At 42.3% G+C, this 17304-nt stretch overlaps 2 annotated features.

Moving 5' to 3' along the window:
* Positions 4038-4207: an enhancer, noted in NCBI's record as "experimental_52468 CRE fragment used in MPRA reporter constructs". NCBI's record gives its function as "activates a minimal promoter by MPRAs in K562 erythroleukemia cells, with activity observed for the introgressed 2:106310531 variant allele {active_cell/tissue: K562}" and the evidence as "EXISTENCE:reporter gene assay evidence [ECO:0000049][PMID:34662402]".
* Positions 5881-5960: an enhancer, noted in NCBI's record as "active region_16317". NCBI's record gives its function as "activates an Ori minimal core promoter by ATAC-STARR-seq in GM12878 lymphoblastoid cells {active_cell/tissue: GM12878}" and the evidence as "EXISTENCE:reporter gene assay evidence [ECO:0000049][PMID:35858748]".

Raw genomic sequence — 17304 nt, 5'->3', positions numbered from 1 at the left:
GCTTTTAACATGTTTAAACTGTCATGATATTAAAATTAATGTAAGTGAGGGAAAATATTGGTATGTAGGTTGGTTAAGGCCAGGAGGAAGCAGGAGATTTCCTGCATGCACGCCAGCCTTGGCGCTGCTCTGCCAGGTCAGAGGCTCTCCCCAGGGCTGATAATGATGGCTGGGAGTGTGGGCGATCTGCTGGCAGCTGCCGTGACCTTGGCCTGCCTGTGCAGTTTGAGCTTGCTGCAGATACTCTATTCTGAAGAACAAAGCCCTGTCTGTTAATTATTCTTCCAGTCGCTAAGGGAATTAACCAAGGTTTATGGGATTGATTCAACTCTCATCAACATGAAAGCACTAGGAAAATGTTGGCGAACACACAGGGGCATGTCGATTCTGGATTCCTGCGTGGGACTCAGGAATGGATGGTTCCTTAAGGGATGTGTGGGAGGGGGGTCTTTTCCAACTGAAGCCACCCTGGGAAAATGCAGTGTTGGGAGGAGAATTCTGGTCCAGCAATGTGTCTCTCCACTTTTGAATGAGAAAAACTCCTCTGTAGGCTTTTCAGTAATGAGCATCTATGAATTGGGGAATCAGATTATCAGAACTGAGTGCCTGCGGTTGGGGATCCAATCAAGGCATCTTCTTTTGCCTGAAATGGGCTGGTGAAGTCTATTCATAAAGGAAGAGCTAACATGTAGAAGAGAGGGAAGAACTCCCAATGCTCTTCTTGGAGTAAGAACCAAACTAAAAGGGAATATTATACAGATCCTTGTTTTCGATCAACATGTGCAAAAACTCCAACACTCAAAGTTGCCCAGCAAAGGAAAGGGCTGTCTTATGAAATGGTGAACTCCTCATCTTTTTAAGGACCCAAGCAGATGTCTGGCAGCTACTTTTATGACTGATATTTTGGAAGGCATTCCTGCAAGGGCACTAGAGCAATGACCAGGTTAGGTGACCCTCTGTTAGGGACTGAATTGTGTTCCCTTTCCCATGCCAAATTCATATGTTGAAGCCCTGGGAACTCCTAGTAACTTAGAATGTAAACTTGTTTGAATTAAGGTCTTTAAAGAGGTAATTAAGTTACAACATGGTCTTTTGCATGGGTCCTAATCCAATGTGACTGGTGTCCTTATAAGAAGAGGAGATTAAGACACAGAGGGAAGACCATGTGAAGGCACAGGGGGCCTCAGAAGAAAACAACTCTGTCACCATCTTGGTCTCGGACTTCTAGCTTCCAGAACTGTGAGACAATAAACTTCTGTTGCTTAAGCCACCCAGTCTGGCTAAGACCCCCTCAATCTTTCTAAGAGTCTATTCTTTGACTTGAAAAATATTTAGAAAAGCTTATTCACTGGAGTTCGGAATAACACTACAGGATAACAAGTCCCGGTGTTTAATAAAACAGCAGGAGCCTCAGGCTGCAGTTGCATATTACTTAGCTTCCTAAATAATTGAAATAGGAGGGTATCACCGAGAAGAAATCACTTACAGGATATATTCATTCATTAAGCAATATCTGTTGTGGGCTTTCTGTGTGCCAATAACATCAATTCAAAGCCATAAGCAATCAGTTGGCCTGTTTGCAGAATGCAGAGAGATGACTGGGATTTACTCCTCAGAAGGGCAGGCAGGAATATCCAGGCAGGTGGTCGCTGGATATCTGGGTATCTGGGTATTAGGATGTATGAGCAAATGGCTCTTGTGTGAAAGAGAGAATTGGCTTTTCTCTGCATCTCTGTAACTAAGAACAATACAGAGAAGTTCTGAGAAGTAGATTTTAGCTCAACATCAGGGGACCTATCAAACTCTCAAGTTCTGCAATGCTGATACGGCTTCTGTTGGGGTGAAGAGGGATTTAAGTGTTGGCTTTACAATTACACATGGAGATGTTCTAGCATGGTTCAAGTATCAGAAGTGAGACAAACTAGAACATCTTAAGGAGCTTGCAACCTTGTCTTTCTATGATGTTTGAAGACAATCATACCATCATACTATCATACCATCCACAATGGTGTGATAGAAAGATGGAAGTGGGAAGGCCTCTTGTGAAGCCATTGAAATAACTCAGTGCTGAAAGCCAATAGATCTTCATGAGACTACGCCACGCAACTGGGAAGGAAGAACTAGACAGAGTGAAGACAAGTGGGCTCCCCAGCTCCATCTCCACGTCACTCTGCTGGCTTCCCCATAAAGTTGATCTGTCCGGTTTGCATCAATGGGTTCCATGCCTTCTGGCATCTGGTTGGCTTTAGCCAATGAGGAGCCCAGCAGGGGACTGGAAGGAAGGAGCAGGAAAGGGGTTGGGATATTTATTTCCTGGTTCCCCCCACATTAACAAAAAGGCATGATGGTCCTCTCAAAGTGGCCTGCTCCGCACGACTCTCTCCCCTCCCAGGCTCTGCGATGTCTCCCTCCCCTCCTCCCGCCAGGCCTGGAGGTGGGAGCTGGATGGCAGTCTTGCAGCTGTTGGCCTGAATTCCCGTGCTTACCCCTCATGGCTCCCTACCCTTCACCATGCCTTCGAAAAAGGTCCCTTTGTAAATAAAACCTCCTCCCATTATCCTTGTTTGAGTGCACCATCTATTTTCCTTCTTGTTTTTCCTGACCCCCACAGACTGTATGACTGGATTTGGTCAATGATAAATTTTGTGTAAATTAGTGCATTTCAAAATACACTTTTCGGGGAGTTGTGGGGATAGGGAGAGTTTTGTCTGTGGCTAATCAGAGCAGCTCCATTAACCTCTTGGGCTACTCTCTAAAATTCCATTTGTGGCGGAGCACAGTGCCTCACACCTGTTATCCCAGCACTTTGGGAGGCCAAGGCAGGTGGTTCACTTGAGGTCAAGAGTTCGAGACCAGCCTGGCCAACATGGAGAAACCCCGTCTCTACTTAAAAAAAAAAGTACAAAAATTAGCCAGGCATGGTGGCACACGCCTGTGATTCTAGCCGAGATCATGCCACTGCACTCCAGCCTGGGTGGCAGAGTAAAACTTTACCTCAAAAAAAAACCCCAAAAACAAAATAATAAAATTCCATTTGTATGAGGATTTTACAACTAAGACTCAGTGTGAAAGTTTTGGGCAAAAAATAAAAATAAAAAAACAAAACCCCAAAAATGATGCCCTAATTTTAAGTATGGATCCAGAATTGAAATCATCATCCGATCCTTGCTGCAGACCTCAAGTAACCCAGGATCTGGTCCATTTCTTGGGCTGTACCTTCACAGCACAACATAAAGTAGAGTCTTGGCACTGTTCCACTTAATTTGATAGATGTACATGACTAGCAAGGTAGAGTGGCTTAGTGTCTAAAAAAATCCATTTGCATTTAGTAATCTGTCTATATTAATCAAATCAGCTGGCTAATTGCCAAATCTCCCCTTCTTTCTGTATTACTTATGACCAAGATTGGATGACAGAACGCAATGGGGAGGGCAGAGAGGTTGACTCTCAGCCCACATCTTCATAAAGACGCGGTTAAACAAAACCTCCTTGACGTGCCTACCAAGCCTAGGAGAGCCTGCCATGAAATACCTGCTGTTAGGATGGCTCTCAGACCTGAGTCCTCCAGGATAGATCTTTTGGTGAGAATGTACTTTAGAAATCCTTGAGGGATGAAACTATGGGAACCAAAAAATATCTTCCTCCCAGTGTGAGTCAGCTGTGTTCAACTACCAAGGATGTCATAGGCAAAATTAGATGCAAAGCCTAACTCCACATTCATGGCTAACATGTGAAAAGAGATGCTCTGTCAAGCACAATATTAGACAGCACCTGTTGTGTGAGCACCTGCACTCAATGGGGAAGGCAAATTAGAAGTGAAAACTAATTGGAAAAGCAGATGTAAGGGGTGTGGGCGAAATGAAAATACTCTGATAGTTGCTTTGGGACAATGTCAAGTGACATAGAATATTCGGAACTGTTTTGTTCAAAATGGGATTTCTGATTTCTAGGGAGAAAAAAACCACATGTTTCTGCTTTACAAGGTACAAGACTGGTGAAACTTGGAGCGCAAGGGAGCGAGCATGCCATGGGGCAGCAGCCGCCATGATGTCTCCCTGTGAATTCCTGAGTCAGGGATGGAGAGGGTGAGCCCAGAGTGGCCTTTGGAAAGATGGCCTTCGATGGTTGAAGATCTGTTTATTCCATGTCTGTGTATTACTTCTTCCCAGCAGTATGGTGGTTTGGAAAGAATGTTGATGTGGGCCTTGGAAGTGCTGGGGAGAAGCCTCACATGGGCAGCCAGTAACGAGCAGTAAAGTACAAACAGTGCAGTTGCTCTGGCAGACTTGAGAGCCATTGCAACAGGGAAAGACAGGTCATGGCGGAGAGCCTTTGACCTGAGAGGGCTCAAAATTTGCAAGCCAATTTGAGCATGAAGGCAGAGCGAGGCCTCTTCACAAATGCTGGTCCTGTTTGGATGGATTCCATGCTGGGTCTGAGAGTGGCAGGATGGATGGGTCCACAGATGAAGGGCGTTGGGATGAGAGTACTACCTGTGCCCCGCTGCGCTTCTGTCCCTCTGTTGGGGAAGGGGCTTTGGCTAAATAATTTTATCATCTCTTCTGGCCATAATGCTCTACAATTTTATCTTCTACTCATCCATGAAGCACCAATTTTTCTCTCTGAGCTAATTGCCCAGGAAGAACTCATAGATTTCTTAATATACCAAGTAATCTTTCCTTTCATTAAAAAAAAAAATGGAAAATAGATGACTAATTTTCATATGCAACTACTCTCAATCTAAAACTTTTTTTCTACTCATACTTAATATATAGTTTTCAGTTGCTATATATATGTGTAAATATATAGTCATTTTTAATGGATGGCATTTTAGCCTCAATAAGCCAGAAGGATTACCTTTTATACTTTAACAATTCCACGGTTGATGGAAAAGTATTGGACTGATTTGATCTAAAAATTTGAAGGTCAAAATTCACTCAGCATTCTCAAGTCTGGACATCCACTTTGAAGGCCAAAAAAATAAAATAAAATAAAATAAAATCAAGTGGGATTGTCAAAAAGATAAAGGCCATTTCACTTCTGTTATCACAGGAATCTTCCCAAGGTTAGTGTGACCAAATGTCAATCTCGGAGCTGATATGATGACTCGTAAACTTAAATTTTCTGTTCTCCAGGAGCAAATGCCAAAAGACGAGAGGGACAACTTAACATGAAAAATGGGCACAAAACTCTTGATATTGGAATATCAGAACCTAAAATAGAGACCAAATCAAGACATTTGAAAATGTCTCCTAAAACGGTGTTAAAACACGAAGCACGTTTTCAAGCAGTGAAAGGTCCAAAGCTCAGAGAATTTAAAATAAGAATAAAAATTGCCCCTAAATCTGCAGCATCTGGTTTAAAAAAAAATACTTGAAATTCAGATCTCCCTAGCTCTATCTTTTCTGAGCATACGAAGGCAAATATTCTCCAGGAATGATGTTTTGTCAGTCTGGTAGAGCAATTTAAAGGACATCTGAAACTTACAAAACCGACAGCAGGGGACATGCTGAGAGGCTATGCTATTAACCGCGGAATCTTAATTTGAGGGGTTCCCAAGTCCAACAGAGCAGCCTCATTTCATGATTTCAAACGAACAGCCAAGACCAAGTCTTCAAAATATGCCCTGATTAAATTATTTTGAAAAGCATGGTTTGTTGCAATAATTTGTAATAATTGCAAGTAACTTTTTTTTTTTTGGCATGGAGCAGGGCCCATCACATTTTTAGTGAAAGACTTATTTGAAAACAAGTAGTGATTACAATGTATCATTTCCACACCCAGGATCTGGAAGTACCAGTAAAACATACTCCAGAAAGTCATGCATTTATTCAGAAGGTTTCCTGATAAATAAAATGGATGTTAGTTTCACTCTTTGGCTGCTCACACTGAGGCTTCATTTTGTTTTGTTTTGGTCAGCAGCAAGTAGAGAAAGCTGAGGGGAATTCCAAGACTTCAAGCCTCCAAGGACTGATCATGGTTGAACACACCTGCTTGTTTTTGTGGGCGAAGCTCAGTGTTCTTGCACCAAAGTGAGCTGGTGCTCAGAGCCAGCAGGCCTTCCCTGAGGTGCTCAGCCACAGGCAGTGTCCGGTACGTTGGGCTGCAGAGACTTGCTGTTCTCTCCCAAAGGGAAGAGGTGATGCATAGGTCATCCTTACGGGTTCCGCATAAGCAGTCAGTAATGCAAACTAAGCAGAACTCCACATCCTGACTTCTCACTGCTGAAGCAGAGGAGGTGGACAGAACATAGTTGCATCCTGACCAAGGTTGGCATTTTTTTCCACGCAGAGGTCAGGCTCATGAACTTCCTCCTGTCTCTCCTGCTTTTTCCCTCTAGTGCCTCAAACATTCCAGAAACCCTTTGACCTCACCAGGGTCTGCAATCCACTGATTCTAACACCCTGTCTCTGATCTTCATCTGGGGTTGCCCTTGCCTTCAGTTTTAGGGCCTTTGCACTGGCCGTTCCCTCTGCCTGGAACATTCTTCCCTCTGATATCCATGCAAGCTGGCTCACCTCATGCAAGCTGCCGCTCAGATGATGTCACCTTGAGGTCCCTCCTAACCATTTTTAAATAATTATAATCCACATCTGTCCCCCATGTCTAATCTCTCTGGCCTACTTTTGAAAAAAGGTTCTCCTAACATTTATCACCTTCTAACATAAGACCTCAAGTGCATTTTTATTTGTTATGGTCATTATTGTCATTCGTCCTCCCTCCCCGACTAAAAGGAAGGCTCCATGAATGGTAAGGATTTTCTGTCTGCACTGACATTGCAAACATCTACCAGACACAGAGTAGACTCTCAGTTAACACTGCCAAACTGAATGCAGAGATGAATTCTGCAGAGAGACACAGAGGCTGCAGCTCTCTTTTTAGATTAGAAGGACACCTGGTTCCATAGGAAATCAGATCTGGGACACCAGTGTGAATTCATTTACTTCTGAGTGAAAGTCAACAACATTGTTGACTTCCCTATTTCAGAATGGCAGTCACATCTTTTAAGTCTATTTTGCTACAAGCAAAATTGAATCCAGAGTGTGGCTCAAGGGTTAGTCATTTTTCTTTCTTTTTATTAAAGCCATAATTGTTTTAGCATGTAAATCTCCATCAGGTATGATACAATATGTGTACAAGTTCCATGACAAAAGTGGCCTGCTTGATATCTGTCCTTTATGCTAGTTTTGGGGGACATAAAACAAATGAAATATGCAATAGATTATTTTACATCTTTTATACGTAGTCCTCTTGAACAGGCCAACTTACCCTCATTGGTATTGTACCGTTATCTTATAGAGAGAAAGAAAAGAATCTTTCCAAAGAAGTCCATACTCATTTTTCTCTTACACACAGATTTGGGGACTGCTCACAATAAGCCTTGCTGATGGTCCTAGCCATGAAGATCACAGCAGGGGCACTCTGGGCTTCCAGCACCAGGGTCCTGTGCCAACAGTTCACAGTTGCTCAATATTTATCCGCATCCCACAAGAAATGTTTGGTATCATCTAGACAGGTGTGTGTCGTTAGGCCTATGGCTGAGAAGCATGGTGAGAAGAATGGGTCTGAATTTCTTTGGAGACACATAGTGAAAAAGACAAGTGCAGAAAATTTAAAGCCTTATAGAAAAACACACAAATTCTCATTTACTGCCATGTGTTAATTTTGGCATATCATTTAAAAATTCTCAAAAATTAGAATGATAACTGGCTCTTTTTCATTTCTTCCACATTTTTCTAAATCAGAGACATTGAAGTGAAACTCATTACTTTCAATGTCATAAAAGTAGTCTAGAATGAGTGGTGTTTAATACTTGTTAAGTGGTGGGAATGATATTAAAATTTATCTCCTCACCAATGACTGGTTTAATAAATAAATAAAAGGTACAAAAGCATGTGGCATCTATATACAAAGACATATGCAGGTTTCATCCATCAACCCATTCATCTATTCATCCATCCATCCATCCATCCATCCATCCTCCCATCCACCCACCCATCCATCCACCTGCCCACCTGTCCATACGTTCATTTGTCCGTCTATCCATTTGTCCATCCATCCAACCATCTACCCATCCACCCATCCACCCACCCCCCATCCACCCAACCATCCATCCATCCATCCATCCACCCAACCATTCACCCACTCTTCCATCCATTGCTGGAGCAACTGGAGGAAGTACATTAAACAAATTGATATATAAATAAATTACACACACAATTGACAAACGTGATGAAGAGAATGAAGGTGTAAGGAATGTGAGCTGCCTGGTGTCGGAGTTAGAAGTTAGGGCTTAGAGCTGAGAGCAGGATAGGAGGCAGAATGCCCCAATTCTTCTCAACACACACGCACACACAAACACACATTCATAAACACACAAGACACACACCCACACACTCATACACACATGCAAAACATACACACACATACACAACACATGAACACACACACAAAACCATACGCACATTAAACGTGTGTACAAAACATACAGAAACAATACGCAACATAAAATATACACACACAACATGCACATGCCAAACATACACATACGCACATTAAAAACACATACAAAACATAAACACAGTCAACACACACATACGAGTTATACAAACCCACATAAACACACACACACAAAATATACATACAAAAAGCACGTATAAAACACATACCAAATACATAAACACACACACATACAAAGCATACACACATACACTACACACACACCCACACAGAAAGTGCACATTCTAGGGCCTCTTGGGAGTGTGGGCTTGTCATGAGAGACCTGCCCTGGTCTTTTGCTGGAGGTGGGCTTCTAGGAGCTCTCTGGGAAAGACTGGGGCCCTGTCCCCTTGATTTCTGCACAGGGTGTTGACAGAGGCTGAGCCTGAGGCCTAGGGAGCTGCTGCGGGCCGTATGGGGAAGGCTCTCAAAAGCTTGATGTGTGTCCCAGGGTTGTTGTGTTGTGCCCGGAAAGACAGCATGGGCAGCCACGTCGCACAAGGGGAGGTGCCACCGGCCCTGTGGGCTCCACGGGCAGTATGCTATGGGGTTGGAGGAGGTGGAAGGGACCCAGACTTCCCGCAGTGCCACACGGAGGGACTCGGAGGTTGGGAGAGCGGGGGTGCTGGGGCTGGCGCTGAGCCAATCAGGGATGTTCCGCCCAAGCAGATTTGGGCAGAGGGTAGCCCTGCTGAGCTGGGGGCACAGCTGCCCTGGGTGGAGGGGTTCCCACTGGCAGAGAGCTCAGATAAAGCTGAAAGCCAACCCCTAAAAGCCACCTCACAGCCCAGGGGTCTCTGATACTCTTTTGCTCTTCCATGTCTCCCCTCATTTCTCATCTTGTTGAATAGTTGCAAAGGATTCCATCTCCAGCATTTGTAAAGCTGTAGCATCACCGTCTTAAATGTACCAGTGGAATCTAAACACACTGAGATTTGATACCTACTTTCATCCTTTACAAAAGCACACTAACAAACTGTTAATTAACACTCACAAATGTAATGTCTTTCCCTTTGGCCTCACATTTCCAATCCATTTGCCCCAAAGAATTGTATCCTAATGAAATACATTTTATGCAGAGAGTCTTTCTATCATGATTCTCTGCAAAAACAATATATGAACATTAAATTTTATTTTCACTTGTCATAATGACTGCGAGGATGCAATTATTTGGACCAGTACAAATATATCATAGATTTTGGTATAAATTTTAAAATAAATGGAAACAGTAATATTTTATTAGAAATGCATTGGGGCCGGATGTGTGACTCACACCTGTAATCCCAGCACTTTGGGAGGCCCAGGCCAGTGGATCACGAGGTCAGGAGATGGAGACCATCCTGACTAACACAGTGAAACCCTGTCTCTACTAAAAATGCAAAAAAATTAACCGGGTGTGGTGGCGGGCACCTGTAGTCCCAGCTACTCGGGAGGCTGACGCAGGAGAATTGCTTGAACCCAGGAGGTGGAGCTTCCAGTGAGCCCAGATAGCACCACTGCACTCCAGCTGGGTGACAGAGTGAGACTCCGTCTCAAGAAAAGAAAAAAAAAAAAAAAAAAAAAAAAAAAAAGAGAGAAAGAAAGAAATGCATCTCTCGCTCTCTTTTTTTTTTTTTTTTATTTTTTTGAGACTGAGTATCGCTCTGTCACCGAGACTGGAGTGCAGCAGCGCCGTCTCGACTCACTGCAACCTCCATCTCCCTGGTTCAAGCAATTCTCCTGCCTCACCCTCCCGAGTAACTGGGACTACAGGCACCCGCCACTATGCCCAGCTAATTTTTGCATTTTTAGTTGAGACAGGGTTTCACCATATTGGTCAGGCTGGTCTTGAACTCCTGACCTCAGGTGATCCTCCCGCCTTGGCCTCCCAAAGTGCTGGGATTACAGGTGAGAGCTACCGCAACCGGCCAGAAGTGCATCTCTAAATGCCCAGGAAGCAGAGACTCTTCCATATGCGGCTTAGCAAAGGGACAGTGTAGGCTGAGAAGGGAAACTAGAATGGGGCCTGGTTTAGGTGGAGGGTGGGGTCTGGGCAGCCCCTCAGAGGCGGTACATGGTAAACTGAAGCCTGAAGGGGCCATGAATGTGGGGAAGGGATGGAAGCACAGGGAGAAAGCTGAGGCCAGGACCAAGGTTCTGCAGGGCTCCTGTGGGCCTCGTTGAGGGGTTTAGTTTATTCCCGACACAATGCAAAGGCACAAGGTTTGAGGCAGGGGCTTGATGTGACCAGAGGTGGGGAGGGCCACATGGATCTTCAGGTGGATTGAATGTGAGAGGCAGGTGCCAAGGAAGCCCCCTAAATTTCTGTCATGCATACACCCTTAGGTGGCTTCTATATTGTCATCCATGAAATTGTTTTTGTGTGTGGACTTCAAATTATTTAGAACAAATTGGACACATTAACTTTGCTCCATTCGTACCACGATAGGAATAGTCAAGTTCTTTTTTTTTTTATACTTTAAGTTCTAGGGTACATGTGCACAACGTGCAGGTTTGTTACATATGTATACGTGTGCCATGTTGGTTTGCTGCACCCATAACTTGTCATTTACATTAGGTATTTCTCCTAATGCTATCCCTCCTCCATCCCCCAACCCCACGACAGGCCCCAGTGTGTGATGTTCCCCGCCCTGTGTCCATGTGTTCTCATTGTTCAACTCACACCTATGCGTGAGAACAGGCAGTGTTTGGTTTTCTGTCCTTGTGATAGTTTGCTGAGAATGATGGTTTCCAGCTTCATCCATGTCCCTGCAAAGAATATGAACGCATCCTTTTTTATGGCTGCATAGTAAGGAATAGACAAGTTCCACTTTGAAACCAGACAATATGTTGTCAGGCAACAAGAGTTAATTTTCCCAGTATTTATAGAGTTAATTTACTAGTGACGTGTCAGTTTATCTTCTAAAACTATGACACATTCCACCTGCTGTAGGCCCGGAGTTAAGGCTGATTAGAAAGACAAATGAGTGACCACACAAATCTGAAGCTTACCGTTACTGCTGTGACCAGGATGTTTCCAGAAAGAAACAAAAATTCCTAAATCATTTTTTTTCCCACAGACAGCACAGATCAGCTGTTGCGTGATTTCATTCAGATTCAGTGTGTTATTCAATAAGGCAGTTAATACATATTTTATCAAAATAGAACATAAAATATTTATGCTAATTAACAGAGTTGTAATTCTGAGTCATCATGGAATATATGAAGGCTAGGTTTTTCTCATATTTTAAGTTGATACATAATAGTTGTGCATATTTATGGGGTCCCTGTGATATTTTGATACATGCATACAATATGTAATGATCAAACCAGGGTAATTGGGATATCTGTCACCTCAGATAATTTTCTCTTCTCTGTGTTGGGAACATTCCAAAGCTTCTCTTGTAGCTTTTTGAAATATACAATATATTGTTGTGAACTACAGTCACCCTACCGTGCTATTGAACACTAGAGCTTATTCCTCCTATTTAATGGGATATTTGTATCCATTAACCAACCTCTCTTCATCTCCCCGCCCCAAACACCCTAGCCTCTGGTACCATTGTTCTACTCTCTACCACCATAAGATCAACTTTTTTAGCCTCCACGTATGAGTCAGAATATGTGATATTTGTCTTTCTGTGCCTGGCTTATTTCACGTAACACAATGTCCTCCAGTTCCATCCATGTTGCGGCAAATGACAGCATTTCACTCTTTTTTATGGCTGAAGAGTATTCCATAGTAATAATATTCCATTGTGTATATACACCACATTTTTGAATCCGTTCATTCATCGATGGACACTTGGGTTGATTCTGTTTCTTGGCTATTGTGAATAATGCTGCAATAAACATGAGAGTGTAGATATCTCTTCAATATACTCACTTCCTTTCCTTTGGTTATATACCCAGTACTGGGATTGCTGGATCACATGGCAGTTCTGTTTTAGTTTTCTAAAGAACTTCCATACTGTTCTTCACCGTGACTGTGCTAATTTACATTTCTGCCAACAGTGTACAAGCATTCCTCTTTCTCCACATCCTTGCCAACGTCTCTTTTTCTGTCTTTTTACTAATAGCCATTTTAAATGAGGTGAGATGATACTTCACTGTGGTTTTGATTTGCATTTCCCTGATGATTAGCAATGTTGACCATTTTTTCATATACCTGTTGGTTATTTGTATGTCTTCTTTTGAAAGATGTCTATTCAAATCTTCTGTACATTTTTAAATTAAATTATTTGATTTTTTTTACGATTGAATTGCTTGAGTTCCTTTTATATTGTTTTTGTTTTGTTTTGTTTTGTTTTAGACAGAGTCTCACTCTGTCACCCAGGCTGGAGTGCAGTGGTATGGTCTTGGCTCACTGCAACCTCTGCCTCCTGGGTTCAAGTGATTCTCCTGCCTCAGCCTCCTAAGTAGCTGAGACTACAGGCACACGCCACCACCCCTGGCTAATTTTTGTATTTTTGGTAGAGACGGGGTTTCGCCATGTTGGCCAGGCTGGTCTTGAACTCCTGGCCTCAAGTGATCTGCCCACCTTGGCCTCCCAAAGTGCTGGGATTACAGGTGTGAGCCACCCTACCCTGCCATTATATTCTGGTTATTAATCACTTGTCAGATGGACAGTTTGCAAATATTTTCTCCTATTCTATAATTTTTCTCTTTATCCTGTTGACTGTTTCCTTTGCTGTGCAGAAGCTTTTGAGATTGAAGTAATTTCATTTGTCTGTTTTTGTTTTGGTTGCCTGTGCTTTTGAAATCTTACTCAAAAAGTCTTTGCCTGGCCAATGTTCTGCAACGTTTCTGTAACATTTTCTTCTAGCAGTTTCATAGTTTCAGGTCTTACACCTAAGTCTTTAATCCATTTTGATTTAATTTGTGCATACAGTGAGAGAGGGGTCTATTTTCATTCTTCTACATAAGGATATCCAGTTTTTCCAGCATCATTTATTGAAAAGACTGTTCTTTTCCCAGTGTTCTTTTCACTTGGCAACTTTGTCAAAAGTGAGTTGACTGTAAATACTTGAATTTATTTCTGGGTTCTCTATTCTGTTTCATTTTTTAAAGTTTGTAATTCCTTTAATATCCTTTCCCCACCGGCTTTATTGAAGCATAATTGACAAATAAATATTGTAGAAATTTAAAGTGTTCAATGTGATGTTTTGAGACATATACATTGTGAAGTGATGACCACAATCAGGCTAATTAACACATCCATCGTCTCACATAGTTACTATTTGGTTTCATTGTTTGTTAAGTGAGAACACTTAAGATCTATCCTCTTAGCAAATTTGGAGTATACAAAACAGTATTGGTAACTATAGCTTCATGCTGTACCTTAGGTCTCCAGAATTCATTCACCCTGCATAGCCGAAGCTTTATACCCTTGAACCAACATCTCCCCATTTCCTGCAAACTGGCCTCTGGCAACCACAATTATGCTCTCTGCTGTAGGGTTTTGTCATGTTTAAAAAAATCAATGTAATATACAGTTTCAAAATGAAAGAGAATAAAGAGTTCATAATAAAAGATAATATTTTTTCTGTCCCACTTTTTCCAAAAGAAGTCTTAAGAAGTTTACAGATTTTAGGTATAATTATTTTTGGGATTCCTAACATATACTGTATCCGAAATATTAAAATGCACCCTCATCTTTATTAAATGTAATTTTTGGCTCTAAAATATTAAAATATTTTTATAATTCTACTTTTGAGATTATTTATCTTCAGGTGACTCAGAAATCATGGTATCTGTTAGGGGATTATTGCAAAGTGAAAAAATCTACAAATTGCTTTCAAATATATTAAAATTTTCATGCATATTGAATTTAATAATTAATGAGGTTAACATAACGATATGTTTTGTAGACATTTAATAAAACATTTATAAATGTTAATTTAGCTGTTTTCTTTTTGATTTTTGTTTTGTTTTGTGTGAAATCATAGCTTAAGGACTGAGAGCTGTGGAACTGGCTTGACTGGACTCAAATCTCAATTCCTGTTCTAACTGTGATCATGACTTTGGTTTACATAACCTCTCTGTATCTCCATTTTATAATCTGCAAAATGGGAATATCACTATCTTTTAATTCCTCACCTGCGATTGTTACCAGAACTAACTGGGTCCATTTGCCTGCATGCATCAGAAAGCCAGACACCGAAGCACTGGATTTTTGCAGACAGAAAGATGTATTGCAAGGCAACTGAGCAAGAAGACAGGAGACAGACTCAAATCTGTCTCCCCATACTGGCTATAAAGCTGTATATTTAAGGGAGGGATGCTTGGGGAAGGGTTTTGGGGTTGGTTAGTGATTGGTGAAGGAAAAGGGGAAGTTTGGAAAGTCTCCTGGGCATGCACAGTTATCTCATCATGTCTCTTCATGGGTCACATGTGTAAATTTGGGGAGGGGTTACTGTGAAATGTGGTGGGAATTTGGCCTATGACATCAAAAGGCTCATTCTGCACAGACTCCAGTCAGCCATATTGTACACAACTGGTTTCAGCCAACTTTGTTGCTTTGTAAGTGAAAGGGACTTCAACAAGATATTTTCCTATCTACTTCCCTATAAAAGAAGCTTCAGAATTTCTGTTAGTCATCAGTTTCTTTAATGCTTTGGGGCACAGTTTCATGATTTTGAAATCTAAAGAGTTTGGAAACTAAGAGTCTGCAGGAAAAACCTCACAGGATCAAGTGAGAGGCTATTTATTCTCTTTATTTATCCCAGTGACTACAAATACCATATGTTTCAATCCCCATCTATTATGTGTGGCTGAAGTGCTGCCCCACACTCTGCTGCGGGGCTTGGGTAACATACAATATATGCATCCTGTTTCCACTCTAAAATTGGAAAAATTCTGCATTCTGAAACCTATCTTGCCCGTAAGAGTTTCCAAAAAGGGAGTGTGGGTCTGTAATATCTACCTCATAGGGTTGGAAAAGGATGAAGTAAGTGAATACAGATGGTCGCTGACATGATTTTTCAACTTTGTGATGGTGCGGCAGTGATATGCACTCAGTAGAAACTTTGCAATTTGATCTTTTCCTGGGCTACTCTGTGCAATACAATGCCCTCTCACACTGCTGAGCAGCGGCAGCAAGCCACAGCTCCCAGCCAGCCAAGCGATCACAAGGGCAAACCACCGATGCTGTGCTCTACAGTGTACTGTATTCAATAAGGTACATGAGATATGCAAAGCTTTATTACAAAATAGGCTTTGTGTTAGATGATTTGGCCTGACTGTAGGTTAACGTAAGTTTTCTGAGCATGTTTAAGGTAGGCTAGGCTAAGCTATGATGTTCAGTAGGTTAGGTGTATGACATGCATTTTTGACTTACAATATTTTCAATTTATGATGGGTTCATCAGGATGTAATGCCGTGGACAGTACACAGCACCATTCCTGGCAGCCAGTGAGCACTCATGGATGTTAGCCGGGTTATCTCTTTTTCATTCTTCACAGCTCTCAGAGCTCTGTGTAGGTTTGGAAAAGCCCAGGGCCCAGCCCACTCCCCAGAGACAATCACTTTGACCTGTTCTGGTTGTGGTTACCCATGTGGCCACCAACATACCTCTCAATCATAGACTTTGACATAGATTTCTTTGTTTATCAACCCACAAGAATTTTGCTCACCTACACCACAACCTGTTTCCCTCCACTCTCTCCGCAGAGGGTTCTCCCTCTATTCCTTTTTTCTGTTGGTAGCCTTTGCATGTCAACAAACATTCTTCAATCTCAATTTCTTGTCCCATCCACCACAGATGTGACCTCCTGTCTCCCAAGAAGACATGGTATTCGGGGGCCACTACACCCATATTCCCTTTGTCTCTTCTCTAGTTCTTTACCTTCCCCAAAACCGGAGTTTTTAAAAATAGCTAAGACTAAATGTGGGCTTTGTATGGCTAATGTTTTACCTCTATACACTTTTTTTTTTTTTTGAGACAGAGTCTTGCTCTATTGCCCAGGGTGGAGTGCAGTGGGTGTTCTTGGCTTACCGCAACCTCCACCTTCCAGGTTCAAATGATTCTGGTGCCTCAACCTCCCGAGTAGCTGGGATTACAGGCATGCACCACCACGCCAAGCTAATTATTTTTCCCTTTGGCATTTGTAGTAAAGACTGGATTTCATCATGTTGGCCAGGCTTGTCTGTAACTCCTGGCCTCAAGTGATCTGCCCGCTTTGGCCTTCCAAAGTACTGGGATTGCAGGCATGAGCCACTGCTCCCGGCCCCTACAAACTTTTCATTGCTGCTTCTATTATATCTTGTTACTTGTCATTGGTCTATTCAGGTTTTGTATTTCTTCATGTTTCAATCTTGATAGGGTGTATGTTTATAGGAATTTATCAGTTTCTTCTAGGTTTTCCAATTTAGTGGTGTAGAGTTGCTCTGGAAGGCTGTAGGGACAGTGGTGTTCTGCCATTGCAGATAATCCTAGTAGCAGTGACACATTCCAAAGGCTGCTTTGGCCTTATTCGTGAGGCTACTAATGAGAAAGAACCATGGGGTTTTTGAAGTCCAAGTGACCTCTATCATCTTGTAGATGAGAAAACTGAAATTCAAAGCAATCAATGGTTTTGACTCAAATCATGTCACCAAAATCTTTGGTAAGAGCTGAACTGGGACTGGACCCCAGGTCTCCTAAAGCCCAGTGGATGTTCTCAACCCCAGCCTCAATTTCCCCTGCCCATTAGCAAGAACAGGGCTCACTGAGCCAGTAAGCTTCTCACGCATTTTCTAATGCATATCCTAAAGCAACTGTCCTCCAAAATACAACCACAATGGGGCCACTTTTGGTGACCTCTCCAGCTACACCCTGCTCCAAGC

The sequence above is a fragment of the Homo sapiens genome, chromosome 2, assembly GCF_000001405.40.
Source record: "Homo sapiens chromosome 2, GRCh38.p14 Primary Assembly".
In the NCBI taxonomy this organism is placed as follows: Eukaryota; Metazoa; Chordata; class Mammalia; order Primates; family Hominidae; genus Homo; species Homo sapiens.
Note: the sequence above shows the minus strand (reverse complement) of the source record. Positions and strands in the feature narration are given on the sequence as shown.